This window comes from Homo sapiens, chromosome 7, assembly GCF_000001405.40.
Source record: "Homo sapiens chromosome 7, GRCh38.p14 Primary Assembly".
NCBI lineage: Eukaryota > Metazoa > Chordata > Mammalia > Primates > Hominidae > Homo > Homo sapiens.
Genome location: NC_000007.14, coordinates 26,155,085 through 26,173,184, shown reverse-complemented (window position 1 = coordinate 26,173,184; position 18,100 = coordinate 26,155,085). Strand labels below are relative to the sequence as shown.

Below are 18,100 nucleotides of genomic sequence, written 5' to 3'. Positions count from 1 at the left end.
ACTGGAGGCAGAGAAATTCTGTATGATCAAAATTCACACTACAGGAAGCCAAAATTAGGTATAATATAATAATGGATCATAACTCATTGAATAAAATGAGTTGAATAAAAGAATCAATGAGTGCACTCAAATATAAACAAATAAATGAAGGAAAAAGGAAATCTTTCTTATAGTAGAATACAAATAATAAATATAAAAGGAGAATGATGAATTAGAAAACCATCAATGGATGCTTAATTTAAGGAGTGAAAATTTTATGAGAAATAAGATACTTAAAGAGTCTCAAAGTATCACTCTGCAGATTACTTGTTAATTACAAAAAGAAAAATAATAACACTACAGGAGAAATCTGGCAGACACCATCTAAATCAAATGGTCAACTCTATCATCAAAATACGAAGTTAAACCAACATCGTGGTCTCCTGATATGGAGGACACAATACCATTTCTGTGATTTTCTCACCAAAAATTCATAATCTCAATCTAATCATTGAGGAAACATCAGATAAATCAACATTGGGGGTCATTTTTACAAACTAACTGATTGATGCCCTTCAACAATCTAAAGGTGAAGAAACACTGAGAGAGGAGTGTTTCCACATTACAGGTGACTAAAGAGACTCGGCAAATACATACTGACAGATTCTGAAAATGGACTGTAGATTAGATAGTAGCCTTACATTCAGATTAAATGTCCTGATTTGATAACTGGGTATAGAAAAGAAAATCACTGTTCTTAGGAAATATACACTAATAAGTATCTGGGTGATGAGGGATGCAATGGTTTCAATTCACATATGTATACAGAGAGACATCGTTATTAATATAGCTAAATGAGGCAAGACATAAATAGGTAAATCTGGGTAAAGGGTATATATATGCCATTTTTAAAAGTTTGAAATTATATTTAGCTAAAAGGTTCACCTAAAAATGCCTACATAGCAAAATCACTTTGGCTAAGGCAACAGCAAAGGGTTAGCCCAGAATTTCTCCCATTAAATTTTCTGTTTATTTGTGTTTTGCCCCCAAGGGCATAGACATATAAACTTTAATATTTTCAACTCTTCTAACATTTAAATTTCTTATTTCATTTTCTTATCTAATTGCTTTAGCTATGCTTCCCAAATAATGCTAAATAATAATGGTGATACCTGATATTCTTGCTGATGAATTTAATGAGAATGCTTCACCAATAAGGATGACTTGTATTTGAGATACAGTCAGTCATTTTAAATTGAGTATCAAATACAACACTAGTGCTGGGAATACGACAGTAAAAAATACAATCAGACCCTGCCCCCTTCACATCTTACATTCTATTTTTGTTTTTTTTGTAGAGATGGGGTCTTGCTATGTTGCCCAGGCTAGTCAAACAATTCTTCCTCCTTGGCCTCCCAAAACACTGGGATTATAGGTGTGGGTCATCACTCCTGGCCAGATCTCACATTCTAAAGAGAGAGGGAACCAAAAATACAAGTGAACTAATGAAATAACTGCAAGTTATGGTAAGTGAAAGAGCTAGCTAGCTATGTGAAAAAAGGAGACAAAGGAATTCAAGGCATAGATAATATCCGAATGGTATACTCATTTGCCTCTTACCATAGTTTATTTAACTGGCTTCTTTTTTTTTTTTTTCTTTTCAGAAGGAGTTTTGATCTTGTTGCCCAGGCTGGAGTGCAATGGCGCGATCTCAGCTCACCGCAACCTCCACCTGCAGGGTTCCAGCGATTCTCCTGCCTCAGCCTCCCGAGTAGCTGGGATTACAGGTGCCTGCCACCACACCCAGATAATTTTTGTATTTTTAGTAGAAACGAGGTTTCACCATGTTGAACAAGTTGGTCTCGAACTCCTGACTTCAGGTGATCCACCTGCCAGCCTCCCAAAGTACTGGGATTACAGGCATGAACCACCACGCCCAGCCTAACTGGCTTCTTAATGGTGCATAGTTGTTTCTAATCTTTTCTTGTAACAGATATTAAAATCTCCTCATCCATACTTCTTTGCACACGTGTGCAAGTAGGATACATTCCTGGAATTTATGCTGGGTCAATGGATATGTGTGTTTTTTATTTGATGGATTCTACTGAAAAGCCCTTCAAAAAAGTTTGTGCCAATTATAATTCCTACCAACAATGGATAAAAGTGCCAATCTGATAGATGAAAACTGGTGATCATGGCTTACTGCAGCCTCAAACTCTTGGGCTCAAGTGATCCTCTCACCTCTCAGCTTCCCCAGTAGCTGGGACTACAGAAACATGCCACCATGCCTGGCTAATGTTTACTTTTTGTAGAGATAAGGGTCTTGCTGTTTTGCCCAGGCTGGTTTCAAAACTTCTAGGCTCAAGTGATCCTCTCCACTCAGCCTTCCAAAAGGACTGAGTCATGCAGGCCAAGAGCGAGTCAGGGTCTTCTCTGATGTGCTTTTTTAGGCCTTGGTATCACTGTTATCCTGGTTTTGAAAAAAGAATTGGGAAGCTTTATTTAACATTGGAATTCCTGATACTTGGAATATTTGAAAGAAATCCCCTTGAATTCTGTCTGTGCCAGGAGTTTTTTGTTTTTCTGAAGAAACTGTTCTGACAACTTTTTAAACTTATTTCATGGGATATACCAACAGACATCCAAAAAGGCTGTTCCAACCTACACTGCCATCTGGTATGTGAGCAAACCCATTTCCTCACACCCCACCTACCTTGGGTTTGTTTCTTAATATTTGCTAATTAAAAGGTGAGAAACACAGCTCATTAGCAGGACAGTCTTGCAGGTATCAGCGTACATAGGAAACGAGGGGGTGAATATGAAGATAGTAGGGGCACAACTCTGGACTGAGGTGGGGACAGATTCGAAATGTTAGAGTGCCTGCCTGCTCTTAAAGATGAGCAACTGAAAGAGCCAAGGGAAGGAAGGTAGTGGCTACAGTGGATATTTCTTCTTTAGCCGGGTAGGGAGAGGAAGACACCAAGACCTGGGGACCATGTCACATCAGTCTTGAAAACCTGGTTTCCTTAGAGGGCCCCTTCCAGCTCTGACACTCCAAAGGTCTATGAATAAGTGACCGTATAATTTATCACCAAACCCATCCACTTTTGAGAGGGTAAGAGGGTACTATTAACCATTAGGCTGGGCAACAAGCATAAACCAGGACTATCCCATATGGTGACCCACCTGAGGCCACAGGGGAAGAGACTGCATAGCTCTTAAGAAGGGGAAGAAGAGACTGCATAGCTCTTAAGAAGCATTTTTTTTTTTGGTAGAGACGGGGTCTCGCCATGTTGCCCAGGCTGGTCTTGAACTTCTGGGCTCAAGCAATCCTCCCACCTCAGCCTCCCAAAGGGCCGGGATTACAGGCGTGAGCCACCGCGCCCGGCCACTCTCAAGAATCTGGATGGCAGACTGAATTCCACAGACTGAGGGAAGAAAAATACTTCAACCTGCACAGACTTAGGTATTGAATAAGTATCTTCTTAGATGGTCCTTCCTGTATTCATTCAACTTTTCTTTCTTGAGAGCCTATTGTGAAGCAAATATAATAAACACAACAAGCATTGTAAGTGATAAATGAGAGGAAGCATTTCCTCCAGGGCTAGTGGGATGCATGGGGAGATGTGCAGCCCAGGTCCCCTTCAAAGGAGGACTTGTGGCTATTCCCACATACCTGTGGGCAGCCAGCCTCCAGCAGCCAAGAGTCGCCTCCCCTAAGGTCACACCCATCCCAGTGTGCCCACATCCCATGACCTGTCAGGCGAGGGTAAAGAGACAAGGCCATCTTGGCCCAATGTGGGACAAGTCTGATGCATCCATGTCAGCCCAGGTGCTGGGTTCTGCCAGCCTGCATCACAGTTCGACTTCTGCTTCTGTCTAATCCTGCCTGTCTCCAGTTATTGATCCCAATGGCTCCCCCTAATAAACCTCCTTCACACTAAAGGCAGTCTCAGAGTCTGCTTCCCAGAGAACCCAACTTGTAACAGTTAGCAATTATTCTACCTTGAGGGAGAGAGAGGGAGAATCTCAAGGCAGGGAGGAGTGGAGGATTTACTACTGTAATATTTACAAAGTAAAAAAGGCCTACGGAATTTGTAATATAATTTGCAATTGCTTCTTGGCCTTTTGGCTAGAATCAAGTGTAATATAATGTGCAGTCTGCAAAGCCCAAAACAGCCTAGTGGCTAGGAGGTCCCAAGTTCAAAACAGCTGAGTAAAAAGACCTATCCTACCCAGTAGCTGGGTAACATTGGGCCAGTTGCTAAACCTCTTTGACCCTCAGTTTCCCGATGTGTGAAATGAGAAGATAATATCTAATTCATATTTTAAGGAATTAGTTGAAAACGGCCCCTTCAGGAACACTTCTCCCCTGCTGGTGGGAATGTAAACCACTATGGAAAACAGTACGGAGATTCCTTAAAGAACTAAGAGTAGAACTACCATTTGATCCAGCAATCCCACTACTGGGTATCTACCCAGAGGAAATGAAGTCATTATACAAAAAAGATACTTGCATACGCATGTTTATAGCAGCACAATTCGCAATTCCAAAAATGTGGTATCAGCACAAATGCCCATCAATCAATGAGTGGATAAAGAAATTGTGAGATAGAAATATATCTATAATCTCTCTCTATATATATTATATATAATCTCTATATTATATATATATTATATGCATATAATCATATAATATATATATGATGGAATACTACTCAGCCATAAAAAAGAACGAATTAATGGCATTCACAGCAACCTGGATGGAAATGGAGACTACAGTGGCTCACGCCTATAATCTCACCATTTTGGGAGGCGAGGCAGGTGGATCACCTGAGGTCAGGAGTTTGAGACCAGTCTGGGCAACATGGTGAAACCCTGTCTCTACTTAAAATACAAAAATTAGCCAGGTGTGGTGGCGTGTGCCTGTAGTCCCAGCTACTTGGGAGGCTGAGGCAGGAAAATCACTTGAACCCAGGAGGTGGAGGTTGCAGTGAGCCGAGATCACACCATTGCACTCCAGTCTGGGTGACAGAGTATGACTCTGTCTCAAAAAAAAAGAAAAAAAAAGACAAGAATGACACAATGGATTTCAAGGACTTGGGGGGAGGCAGGAAGGGAGAGAGGGGGGTGAGGGATAAAAGACTACAAATTGGGTTCAGTGTATACTACTTGGGTGATGAGTGCACCAAAATCTCACAAATCGCCACTAAAGAACTCACTCATGTAACCACACACCACCTGTTTGGAAATAAAAAATTAAAAATAATTAAAAAATTAAAAAATCAGATATTCATTTTAAAAATAGCCCCTTCATATGTGTAAGCTGCTATATAAACATGAATTACTCCTTGCTACTGCTTTTTGATTCTGAAGATTTGCAATTAATGATTAACTGCCAATAACTCAATCCGGATTTCAAGAGAAAGCAAAACCAGCTAGCCCTAGTAGCCAGTAATTATTATCTCTGCTTTCTTTTTCTGTTTTTCTTCTCAACTCAATGACATGGAGCTGAGATACAGAGTATGTTTTACTAGTTCTGTTGCGTAGTCTTGAGGTTTATAGTTCATGCTCTTTATTTAAAGAATAGACAAGTTAAACCCATCATTAAGTTACTTTTTATTTGTGAGCAGGTGACTTTTACCCTTGTGGGGCTGGGACAATTAAAAAAAAAAAGTACATTTTCACACCTGCCACACAGGAAGCTATCGTAAACTTGTGAGCTGGGGCCCTTAGTCACAACTAAACACCTACTGACTTGTACAGAACTGGCACCTGCTGGAAAGGCCTGCCCTACCACATCCCTCTGGCTGGTAACTGACCCATCTGTGCTCTGTGAGGATCCAGAATGTTCTCAGTTTGGGCCCTTTAACCAAAACTGGGTGCTCCTGTCTCTAAAATCCCATGTCTTCTAGGTTTTCTCTTATGGCACTTATCCTGTTCTATCTAAAATCACAAATTATATGGGTCTTTTCTTTCCTACTGGCTGTAAACATGATACCTGCCCTCCAGCCATTCACCTTTGCCACCCGGGTAAGAAGCAGAGCAGAAGAGTCTTGCGCAAAGGTTTTCTGAATCAGTAATGTAGTGGAAAGGGGAAGAAAGGAGCAAAGCTGGCCTTTTCTTTTCTCCTTGCAAAGTCTCTGAAGCCCCTGTCAACTGGCAAGTGTGCCGCTTATGCTGTACTGGGATCTGAGTCATGTGGTAGAGGGTTTGCCCCTGAAAATACCCTTTGTGAACAGCCTCGACTGCTTTAGCTAGGCCTTTCATTTATTCATCTGGAGGAGGAGGGATGGAGACCTGCTTTTACCTCTAGGGTTGGAAGAACCTTCAAAGACAAAGAACAGTGTGGTGCCTATGAGAAGGATGACGTCAGAGGGAGAATGGTAAGGCCAAAGCACTCTGAGGCCTGTCTCTAGGCTGAAGGCAAGCTAGAGTCATCAGGGCTAGAGAGAAACATGGAGCCAGATAAAGAGAGACTGTGTCCTGTTTGGCCTGGGTGGTTTTTAATAGTGGTTTGTAATAATTCCAGCTTGTGTTGATTGAGCACTGGCTGTAGGCCAGGCCCTATGTACATTATCTCATTGAAGCTGCTCGGCATCCCTGTAAGGTAGGTATTGTTATTACAGAGGAGGAAACTGAGACACAGAGAGGTTAAACAGCTTGCCTTAAGTCACACAGCTAGTAAATGACAGAACCAGGATTTGGCGGCAGGCATTTTTATTTCACAGCCAGCTCTTGGCCACAGTACTGGTTCTTCTTTGCCCCTCCAGGTCCATGTGTGTCCCTGAGAAACTCTAGGGCTCCTGTGCTGGCTGGCTTCCAGCTGGGTTCACCAGGGGAAGGCTAGAGCAGAACACAGGTATAGCCAAGGGGGAGGTCAGAGCATTTCCTCCATGATCCACGATGACAGCCCCTCATCTTGGGCTCCAGCAATTCCTTCCATCCCTTCTCACCGGGAGCCTCTGGGCACTCCAACGTCCCTGTCTGCCCCTGACCACATGGCTGTAAGAAGTCATTCATTTAAGTCTCTTCCATTGAGCCATCCAGGGTGAATTCTTTCCCCCCCGCCCCACCCGCTCGCTTCACACTGCATCACACAGATTACAACAGCAGTGCTGGCAGAAGCTGACTGCATACAAATCCAGTAAAGCACCTGTCTGCTTGAATACTACTTTATCATGCAAAAACAGCTGGATACAATGCAAGGTATGGATCTTGTCGGATTGTGATTCAAACAAACCAACTATGAAAAATTATTCATGAGATAACAGGAAATTTGAACAGTGACTAGATATGTGATGATTATTAAAGAATCCTGGCCAGCTTTGACAAAATTCAACAACCCTTCATGCTAAAAACTCTCAATAAATTAGGTATTGATGGGACGTATCTCAAACTAATAAAAGCTATCTATGACAAACCCACAGCCAATATCATACTGAATGGGCAAAAACTGGAAGCATTCCCTTTGAAAACTGGCACAAGACAGGGATGCCCTCTCTCACCACTCCTATTCAACATAGTGTTGGAAGTTCTGGCCAGGGCAATCAGGCAGGAGAAGGAAATAAAGGGTATTCAATTAGGAAAAGAGGAAGTCAAATTGTCCCTGTTTGCAGATGACATGATTGTATATCTAGAAAATCCCATCGTCTCAGCCCAAGATCTCCTTAAGCTGATAAGCAACTTGAGCAAAGCCTCGGGATACAAAATCAATGTGCAAAAATCACAAGCATTCTTATATACCAATAACAGACAAACAGAGCCAAATCATGAGTGAACTCCCATTCACAATTGCTTCAAAGAGAATAAAATACATAGGAATCCAACTTACAAGGGATGTGAAGGACCTCTTCAAGGAGAACTACAAACCACTGCTCAACGAAATAAAAGAGGACACAAACAAATGGAAGAACATTCCATGCTCATGGGTAGGAAGAATCAATATCGTGAAAATGGCCATACTGCCCAAGGTAATGTATAGATTCAATGCCATCCCCATCAAGCTACCAATGACTGTCTTCACAGAATTGGAAAAAACTACTTTAAAGTTCATATGGAACCAAAAAAGAGCCCGCATTACCAAGTCAATCCTAAGCCAAAGGAACAAAGCTGGAGGCATCACGCTACCTGACTTCAAACTATACTACAAGGCTACAGTAACCAAAACAGCATGGTACTGGTACCAAAACAGAGATATAGACCAATGGAACAGAACAGAGCCCTCAGAAATAATGCCACATATCTACAACTATCTGATCTTTGACAAAAACAAGAAATGGGGAAAGGATTCCCTATTTAATAAATGGTGCTGGGAAAACTGGCTAGCCATATGTAGAAAGCTGAAATTGTATCCTTTCCTTACACCTTATACAAAAATTAATTCAAGATGGATTAAAGACTTAAATGTTAGACCTAAAACCATAAAAACCCTAGAAGAAAACCTAGGCAATGCCATTCAGGACATATAGCATGGGCAAGGACTTCATGTCTAAAACACCAAAAGCAATGGCTCAAAAGCCAGAATTGACAAATGGGATCTAATTGAACTAAAGAGCTTCTGCACAGCAAAAGAAACTACCATCAGAGTGAACAGGCAACCTACAGAATGGGGGAAAATTTTTGCAATCTACTCATCTGACAAAGGGCTAATATCCAGAATCTACAAAGAACTCAAACAAATTTACAAGAAAAAAACAAACAACCCCATCAACAAGCGGGCAAAGGATATGAACAGACACTTCTTAAAAGAAGACATTTATGCAGCCAAAAGACACATGAAAAAATGCTCAATATCACTGGCCATCAGAGAAATACAGATCAAAACCACAATGAGATACCATCTCACACCAGTTAGAATGGCGATCATTAAAAAGTCAGGAAACAACAGGTGCTGGAGAGGATGTGGAGAAATAGGAACACTTTTACACTGTTGATGGGACTGTAAACTAGTTCAACCATTGTGGAAGTCAGTGTGGCGATTCCTCAGGGATCTAGAACTAGAAATGCCATTTGACCTAGCCATCCCATTACTGGGTATATACCCAAAGGATTATACATCATGCTGCTATAAAGACACATGCACACATATGTTTATTGTGGCACTATTCACAATAGCAAAGACTTGGAACCAACCCAAATGTCCAACAATGATAGACTGGATTAAGAAAATGTGGCAAATATACAACATGGAATACTATGCAGCCATAAAAAAGGATGAGTTTGTGTCCTTTGCAGGGACATGGATGAAGCTGCAAACCATCATTCTCAGCAAACTAGCACAAGAACAGAAAACCACACACTGCATGTTCTTACTCATAAGTGGGAGTTGAACAATGAGAACACATGGACACAGGAAGGGGAACATCACACACTGGGGCCTGTTGTGGGGTCGGGGGAGGAGGGAGGGATAGCATTAGGAGATATACCTAATGTAAATGACGAGTTAATGGGTACAGCACACCAACATGGCACATGTATACATATGTAACAAACCTGCAAGTTGTGCACATGTACCCTAAAACTTAAAGTATAATAAAATAAATAAATAAAGAATCCTGGCCACGTGTGGTAGCTCACGCCTGTAATCCCAGCACTTTGGGAGGCTGAGGTGGGCGGATCACCTGAGGTCAGGAGTTCAAGACCAGCCTGGTCAACGTGGTGAAATCCCGTCTCTACTAAAAATACAAAAATTAGCTGGGCTTGGCAGCGCACGCTTGTAATCTTAGCTACTTGGGAGGCTGAGGCAGGAGAATTGCTTGAACCCGGGAGGTGGAGGTTGCAGTGAGCTGAGATCGCGCCATTGCACCCCAGCCTGGGCAACAAGAGCAAATCTCCGTTTCAAAAAAACAAAAAAGAATCCTTGGGAATTTCTTTTAGGTGTGCTAACGGCATTGTGGTTATGTTTAGAAGAGTCCTTATGATTTGGGGATATATACTAAAATATTTACAGACGGTTTTGAGTTAATGGAAGTAGTGGAAGAGTAAGAAAGGAACAATGCTTGGTTTTTCTCTTCTCCTTGCTAAGAAATGTCTGGGATTTGTTTCAAAAGAATAGAGGGGCGGACAGAGAGGGCAAGAGTTAAAGATGAAACATGACCGGCCATGAATTGGTAACTGTTGAAGCTACATGATGGGGAGGGGGGCATTATCCACCTCCATTTTCTCCACTAGTAATAAATGCTTGATATTTTCCATAATAAAATGTGATATGGACCTATAATCCCAGCACTTTGGGAGGCCAAGGCAGGTGGATCATTTGAGCCCAGGAGTTTGAGACCACCCTGGGCAACATGGTGAAACCCATCACTACAAAAATACCAGAAATCAGCCAGGCGTGGTGGTGCGCACCTGTAATCCCAGGTACTCAGTAGGCTGAGGTGGGAGGATCACCTGAGCCTGGGAGGTCAAGGCTGCAGTGAGCCCTGATTATGCCACTGCACTCCAGCCTGGGCAACAGAGTTAGACCCTGTCTCAGAAAAAAAAAAAAAGAAATAGTCTAAACTTACTTCTAAAGTCCCCTGGAGAAGGCAGAGAAACAGCTGAAAAACTTGGCAGATATCCACTAGGTAGGTGAAGCTAGGACATAAGAGGCCCATGTTCCATGGGGGCGGCAGTAAAGAGTATCATTTATGATTCATTTATTTAGTGTTAAATTATCCCAGCAGGCAGAATAGGCCAACTGGTCCTCAAAATACATGATGTTTTTTGTATTTTTCCTTATTATGGAAAATTTCAAACATACGTAAACAGAATACAGAATCACTGTATGATTATACAGTGCACTTTCCATGTAACTATTACCCAGTTTCAACAATGATCAGCACTCTTATCATCAATACCTTCACCCCTCCCCACTCAATTCTTCTTTAATAGTTTTTAGGCAGGATTTATACACGCAGAAATGCAGAAACCTTAGGTGCACACTTTGACAAATGGAGGCACCCATGTAAACTGACACCCCAACCACGATATAGAACTTTTCAGAAAGTTCTCCTCGCTAATATTTTTAGCTCAGCTTTGCCTGTTCTAGAACTGAAGAATGAATTTTTTTTTTTTTTTTTGAGATGGAGTCCAGCTCTGTCACCCAGGCTGGAGTGCAGTGGCGTGATCTCAGCTCACTGCAACCTCCACCTCCCGGGTTCAAGCGATTCTCGTGCCTCAGCCTCCCAAGTAGCTGGGATTACATGTGTGTGCCAACATGCCCAGCTAATTTTTGTATTTTTAGTAGAGACGGGGTTTTGCCATGTTGGCCAGGCTGGTCTCAAACTCCTGACCTCAAGTGATCTTCCTGTCTTGGCCTCCCAAAGTGCTGGGATTACAGGCAAGAGCCACTGCGCCTGGCATTAAGCATGAATTTTAAACTGCACTTATGTGCAAGCTAATTCTGCATTCATTGTTTTTGCATGCTAGATCCCCATTCCCCAACCTACCTCCACCCCCATCCAGAGAGATGTTCTTTAGAATATATTAGAAAATAATAAAAGGAGCTAGGGAAATTGGGCTTTGACTTTTAAGTACCTGGTAAGTCACTTTGGCCCAGTTTTTTAACTGCTCTGAGCCTTAAATTCATAGAAGGGCTTTCAGCCAGACACTCCTTCCATTCAGGTATTGCCGGACACTGAGGAGCCCTGGGGGAGGAGCGTCAAGGCAGAGGACCTTAAGCTTGGGATGGCACAAGAACCACCTGGGGGTCTGGAAAACTCCAGAGGTATTCATTCAGCCTGGTGGTAGATGGGTGGGCCTGGCAATCTGCATTTTAACTAGTGCCCCAGGAGGCTCTCATTTTGTCACTGGATTTCCCTTAGACCCTTGGAGAAACTCTAAAGAAAGGTAAGACCCAAAAAAAAAAAAAAAAAAAAAAAAAAAAAGAGAGAGAAGCTAAGAAATTAAGTTCTTCCTGCGGTTGAGCTTTAGCAGAACTTCAGTTGGCATTTAGAGTTCTGCCTCCTCAACAAGTCCAAGGCCTCTTTCACATAACAGCTCTTCAAATATTTGAAGTTGGTGATCATGATCCTTCCTCAGTCTGATCTTCTCAACATGGAACTGCCCCAATTCATTCAACCATTTCCAGTATGACCTCCCCCTTGGGGAGGGAAGGGTTCCTTTCATGCTAAAGTGGATTCCAGTCTTTGGTAATTTCCTCTAGAAGACAAGGGGTGTCCTGGAGGTTTGACCTGGAGCTCAGAAGCAATAAAAGCGAATCATCTGTTGACGATCTATTACTATGCCAGGAACTGTACCAGCCCTTAAACATACAGTGTCATTTAATCCTCACAAGAACTCTTCAAGAAAGATGTTAATTTTCTCCATTTACCAATTTGGAAATCATGGTTTCCCAGGAAGAGGTGGAGCTGGATGGCGTGATGGTCAGTTTTAAATGTCAAGGAGCTAGGCTATTGTTCTTAAGTCATTCTATTAAGTGCTAACCTGTGTGTTGCTCTGAAGGTATTCTGTACATGTGGTTAGCATCTACAATCAACCAGCTGACTTTAAGTAAAGGAGATTATCTTCAATAATCTGGGTGGGTCTCATCCAATTAATTGGAGAGCTTTAAGAGCAAAACTGAGGTTTCCTTGATAAAGAAGAAATTCTCCCTGAAGCCTGTAGCATTGCAGCTCCTGCGGAGCTTCCAGAGTTTCTGGGTGCCCTAGAGAGTTTGAATTTGCCAGCCTTCCCAATTATATCATCCAATTCCTTGAAATAAATCTGTGTGTATATGTGTATTTATTTATTCATATTCTACTCATTCTGTTTTTCTGGAGAACTCTGACAGATAAAGACAGGAACCCAGTTCTCCCCAATTTCAAAAGATCACGTCTTGCCTCTGTGACTTGCCCACATTCTGCCAACCACCACCTGCAACTCCACCAAAAACAACTCAGGGATGTACCTCAGCCTAGGCAGGCTTCAGCTGCCTGGAATTGTATTTGAATATTAACATAGATCCAGCCGGGTGCGGTGGCTCACACCTGTAATCCCAGCACTTTAGGAGGAGAGGCAGGAGGATAGCTTGAGCCCAGGAGTTTGAGAGCAGCCTAAGCAGCATGGCAAGACCTTGTCTCTGCAAACAAATTTTTAAAAAATTAGCCAGGTGCAGTGGTGCATGCTTGTGATCCCAGCCACTTGGGAGACTAAGGCAGGAGGATGGCTTGTGCCCAGAAGGTTGAGGCTGCAGTAAGATATGACTGCACCACTGCACTCCAGCCTGGGTGACACAGCAAGACCCTATCTCTCAAAAAAAAAAAAAAAAAAAAGCAACAAGATTTTAAGAATAAACTCTTCCTATCACAAGGCTGCCATGAACGAGACAGACTTTTGTTTTTACCTTTGAAGTTTTATAGTGAGCAGAAGGTATGGTTTACTCAGTGCTTAAGAACAGTGACCTGTTCTATTCCTAGCAAGGTCACTAACTTGCTATATAACTTTAGGCAATCCCAAGTTTCACCACTTGATTAATTATAATGCTAGCCTGAAAGTCTGCTTTCCACTGCCCTCATCCACTCAGACAGTTGGCATTAAATAGTCAGATGGCCCATCAGGATTTCAGATCTGACCTACTTTCTAGTTGAGACTCGGGCCTTGAAGGACCCAAGACACCTTCACACCCATGGTATCTTTGAAGTTCTGCAAACACAATGTCATGAATGATAAGTGCTCAACAGACAGACACTGGCTGAACTGACCTCTGCTCCTAACCCTGTCCCTGGGTGCTATTTCAGGTGAAAGCCAAGACCCAGTCTCCACATTCCAGCCACTGCAGTTCAAAGGAGAGGATGCCAAGTCCTATAGAAGAAATGTTACAGAGTGCAATAGGGCTCAAAGGGAAGAACAGGAAATGTTTTATGGATGAGGTGATGGTTGAGCTGAGTTTGAGAATTTAACCATAAAAGACTTGAGAGGAATGAAAGGAAGGCATTCCGGGCAAAGGTAAGAACAGACTAAAGGGCAGGAGATCATAGGGTTGTTGGGCAAAGGGATGAAGAAAGTTTTCTCCTGGAAAGAAGGCTACATGGAGAGGCCCAGCAAGAGCAGCTGGGGGCTGGGTCACATAAGCCACAAGGGCAGCCCTGAATGACAAAATACTGAATAAGTAGGCAATGGCGAGCTAGAGGAGGCATCCCACAAAACGCAGAGAGACGAACCAAGGTGTGCTTTGGAAACCTGCACCTGACAACACAATGGACGGGAGTAAATTGGGGAAGAAGCGGTACAAGCCCCACCTGAATTATTAATAGTGTATCAACCCTGCTCAACTTGCACTATCTCATTCAATCCTCACCACCACTTCCCTAAGGTGCTCTTACTATTCCATTTTACGGATAAGGGAACCAAGGCTCAGAGCACTTAAGAAGTGTGCCCCAGATCACACAGCCAGTGTGGCACTGGGATCTTCCCCAGCTGGTCTGACTCCAGGGCCAGCACACAAGACCCCTAGACCAGCCTGCCTCAAGTCAGGGCTTGGGCCCTGCATGCTCATTTCCCACTGTGTGGGTTGAGAAGTAGGGGTCATGGAAAGAAGGAGAATGATACAAGAGACTTGGCAAAGATGATTTCTCTGTAACCTACTAATGGAGGGGAAATACTGACTGGAAAAAGATGGTTTGAGCCAAGCTTCCTCAGGGTTGCACATCAAGCCAGCAAAACCCCAGATTTTCTCAGGAGCACACACCAAGTCCTATGCAAATGATCCTCCATATAGACCAGCTGCTTTCAGAAACAGCTCAGTTAGCTTTTAATCATAAGCAAGCTGAACACCCCAAGAATTGATGGAAGGAAGATGGTGATTGTTATAGATTGAACTGTGTCCCCAAAATTCATGTTGAACTCCTAACCCCCATACTTTGGAAACTGGGTCCATTGCAGATGTAACTAGGTAAGTTAAGATAGGAAGGAAGGTAGACCCTTATCCAATGATGTCCTTATAAAAAGGGAAATCTGGCCAGCCTGGGTAACATGGCAAAACCCTCGTCTCTACAAAAATTAAAAAATTAGCTGGGCGTGGTGGCAGGCGCCTGTAATCTCAGCTACTTGGGAGGCTGAGGCAGGAGAATCGCTCGATCCTGGGAGGCAGAGGTTGCAGTGAGCCGAGATTGCGCCATTGAATTCCAGCCTGGGAGACAGAGCAAGATTCCATCTCAAAAATAAAAAACAAAACAAAACAAAAAAACCCCAACAACAAAAAAGGGAAATTTGGATACAGACATGCACATAGGGAGAATGCCATGTGAAGATGAAGGCAGAGCTCAGGTGATGGAGAAGAAACCAAGGAATGCCAAAGATTGCCAGCAAACCACCAAAAGGCAGGAGAGAGCTGTAGAACACTTTCTCCCTCACAGCCCGCAGAAGGGCCAATCTGCTGACACCTTGATCTTGGACTTCTTGCCTCCAGAACTGTTAGAGAATAAATTTCTGTTTAAGCCACCCAGTCTGTGGTATTTGTTATGGCAGCCCTAGCAAATTCATACAGTAACTTATGACATCCTTTCCCATACAAAGACAATAGTGCACCTTTACAACTTCCTTTAGTAAACAAAATGAAAATCCCACTGTGAACGCTTGTCATAAACGCAATGTATGTAATTATAAGACTATTTCCGTAACATAGCTGTGAGTTAAAAACAGGCAAATGTCTGAAATTTCATCTCTTGTCCAATTGCCCAGGAGTTAGGGACTATTTTTTATTCTGAAATGAAAAACAATTTTTACTTTAACAATCAAGGACCTTCTTTCTCTTTCCTTTACTCTTAGAATTAAATATTGAGGCCAGGTGCAGTAGCTCATGCCTGTACTTGAGCCCAGGAGTTTGAGACCAGCCTGGGCAACACAGAGAGACCTTATTTCTATTAAAAAAAAAAAAAATCAGCCAGAAGCAGTGGTGCGCGTCTGTAGTCCCAGCTACTTGGGAGGCTGAGGTGGGAGAATTGTTTGAGTCCAGGAGGTTGAGGTAGCAGTGAGCTGTGATGGTACTACTATACTCCAGCCTGGGAGGCAAAGTGACCCTGTCCCAAAAAAAATTAAATATTGACTGGATCAGATTCTCTCTGTGCCCTGAAGAAACCAGCCCAACAGTTTCTTTTCTTTTTTTTTCTTTTGAGATGGAGTCTCGCTTTGTCACCCAGGCTGGAGTGCAGTAGAGCGATCTCGGCTCACTGCACCCTCCGCCTCCCAGGTTCAAGCGAGTCTCTTGCCTCAGGCTCCCGAGTAGCTGGGACTACAGGCACGTGCCACCGTGCCCGGCTAATTTTTAGTATTTTTAGTAGAGACGGGGTTTCACCGTGTTGGCTAGGATGGTCTCGATGTCTTGATCTCGTAATCCTCCTGCCTCGGCCTCCCAAAGTGTTGGGATTACAGGTGTGAGCCACCACACCCGGCCCAGCCCAACAGTTTCTTCAGGCAGTTAATCAAGAGGTCTTACCAGACCCCTCACCCAGCAGAGGGTCTCTGTACCAGGATAGGAAACCACATCAAAATGACTACAAGCCCTCTCAGTTTCAAAGTGGCAACAGCTCTCTGAAATACTGAAGCTGGCTGTAGGCAGCTGTTCCATACGTTTACACATTCAATTCTACAAAAACTGTTCATTTCTTTGTTTAACCTGTGTGTTACTTGGAAGAATGCATGCTTCATCCGTTGTGAATGACTGTGGTTATGAAGGGAAGCGTGTCAGCCCTGGGGAATTCCAGAGTCAGTTTTCAGATCATGATAAGCCCCAGTAAGAAGTGAAACCAAAACAGTACTCCTTTTGATACTTGGAAAATCCCCTACTCCAAAATATTTTTGCATATGTACATAAATTATGGAAAATTATACTATAAAACTCCTGCAACTCAAATGTAAGCCACCGGAATTATCTATTTTTTAAAATTAAAAATTATGTTCCTATGGGACAAAGCACTTCGTCTCTTTGAAGTTAACAGTAGCTAACATTTACTAACTAAGCACTTAAGTGACAGGCAAGTTCTAAGCCCTTTACATGGAATGAACTTTTTAATTCTCACATCAACCCTCTGAGGTAAGCCCCTTCTGATTCCCATTGTGCATGGGAATGCACACAGAATGAAGCACAGAAAGGATAAGCAACTTGTCCAAGGTCACAGACGTGGTAGAGCTGGGATTCAAAACCAGGCAGTCTGGGTCTAGCATACCCCACTTCTTCAATAACCAACCAAACTAGATATGCAGACAAGCCAAAAGGAATCCAGTGAGTGGGGACAGGTGAAGGAGGGTGGGTTAAGGACGGAGGGCAGAAGAGCGCAGCTACAATCCAGGCACCATGCTGCTCTTCCCATGGGCTTTTCCCACTTAATCAGCACACCTCCCCCTGGAGTACACATTCCTCTCCCACTTGACATGAGACACTGAAGCTTGGAGTGATTCAAGCAGCTTATGGGAGGGCATACTAGCAGGTGATACTCCCAAACCCAGGTCTAGCTGACCGCAAAGACCAGTGTTGTTTTTCCAGCCCATTTTCTCCCCAAAGTCATGGTTCCAAATTGCAACCTCTTCATTATGAATGGCACAATCTAGCACTGGAGAGTGATTAGCCTGGGCAGTGGAAGGCTGAGTCACCCCATCCCAGATGCACTGAGACGTCCTAGATGTCCCAAGAGCTTGAGTACCGTGTAGGTACTTAATTAATGTGCCAGTCTGAGAGTCAAGAGACTCAGGCTCTGGTCTCTCTTTTGGCACTGACATGTGGCTTTAGCCAAATCCCTAACCTAGGCTTCTAGTTTTCTTCTTCTTCTTCATTTTTTTTCTTTTTGAGACAGAGTCTCACTCTGTCACCCAGGCTGGAGTTCAGTGGCACAATCTCGGCTCACTGCAACCTCCGCCGCCCAGATTCAAGTGATTCTCGTGCCTCAGCCTCCCGAGTAGCTGGGACTACGGGCATGTGTAATCACGCCCAAGTAATTTTTGTATTTTTAGTAAAGATGGGGTTCACCATGTTGCCCAGTCTGGTCTCGAACTCCTGACCTCAAGTGATCTGCCTGCCTCAGCCTCCCAAAGTGCTGGGATAACAGGTGTGAGCCACCGCACTCAGCCCTATTTTTCTTAAGTACAAATTGTATATAAGGGTGCCTGGCCAGTGCACCACACAAGGTTGATGTAAAAGGCAACA

At 43.2% G+C, this 18,100-nt stretch overlaps 1 protein-coding gene across 1 annotated transcript in view, besides 7 other annotated features; it reads right to left on the bottom strand.

Moving 5' to 3' along the window:
- The window catches only part of NFE2L3 (NFE2 like bZIP transcription factor 3), a 34,940-nt gene that overhangs the window by 13,953 nt on the left and 2,887 nt on the right, over positions 1 to 18,100 (bottom strand). The window lies entirely within an intron of this gene.
- Positions 5,588 to 5,657: an enhancer, noted in NCBI's record as "active region_25783". NCBI's record gives its function as "activates an Ori minimal core promoter by ATAC-STARR-seq in GM12878 lymphoblastoid cells {active_cell/tissue: GM12878}" and the evidence as "EXISTENCE:reporter gene assay evidence [ECO:0000049][PMID:35858748]".
- Positions 6,338 to 6,387: an enhancer, noted in NCBI's record as "active region_25782". NCBI's record gives its function as "activates an Ori minimal core promoter by ATAC-STARR-seq in GM12878 lymphoblastoid cells {active_cell/tissue: GM12878}" and the evidence as "EXISTENCE:reporter gene assay evidence [ECO:0000049][PMID:35858748]".
- Positions 13,482 to 13,776: a silencer, noted in NCBI's record as "tiled region #12991; HepG2 Repressive DNase unmatched - State 8:EnhW". NCBI's record gives its function as "represses a minimal TATA promoter and a strong SV40 promoter by Sharpr-MPRA in HepG2 cells {active_cell/tissue: HepG2}" and the evidence as "EXISTENCE:reporter gene assay evidence [ECO:0000049][PMID:27701403]".
- Positions 13,828 to 14,328: an enhancer, noted in NCBI's record as "H3K4me1 hESC enhancer chr7:26198477-26198977 (GRCh37/hg19 assembly coordinates)". NCBI's record gives its function as "activates a minimal SCP1, AML or CMV promoter by ChIP-STARR-seq in primed H9 embryonic stem cells {active_cell/tissue: H9 hESC(primed)}" and the evidence as "EXISTENCE:reporter gene assay evidence [ECO:0000049][PMID:30033119]".
- Positions 14,329 to 14,829: an enhancer, noted in NCBI's record as "H3K4me1 hESC enhancer chr7:26197976-26198476 (GRCh37/hg19 assembly coordinates)". NCBI's record gives its function as "activates a minimal SCP1, AML or CMV promoter by ChIP-STARR-seq in primed H9 embryonic stem cells {active_cell/tissue: H9 hESC(primed)}" and the evidence as "EXISTENCE:reporter gene assay evidence [ECO:0000049][PMID:30033119]".
- Positions 15,739 to 15,788: an enhancer, noted in NCBI's record as "active region_25781". NCBI's record gives its function as "activates an Ori minimal core promoter by ATAC-STARR-seq in GM12878 lymphoblastoid cells {active_cell/tissue: GM12878}" and the evidence as "EXISTENCE:reporter gene assay evidence [ECO:0000049][PMID:35858748]".
- Positions 15,989 to 16,068: an enhancer, noted in NCBI's record as "active region_25780". NCBI's record gives its function as "activates an Ori minimal core promoter by ATAC-STARR-seq in GM12878 lymphoblastoid cells {active_cell/tissue: GM12878}" and the evidence as "EXISTENCE:reporter gene assay evidence [ECO:0000049][PMID:35858748]".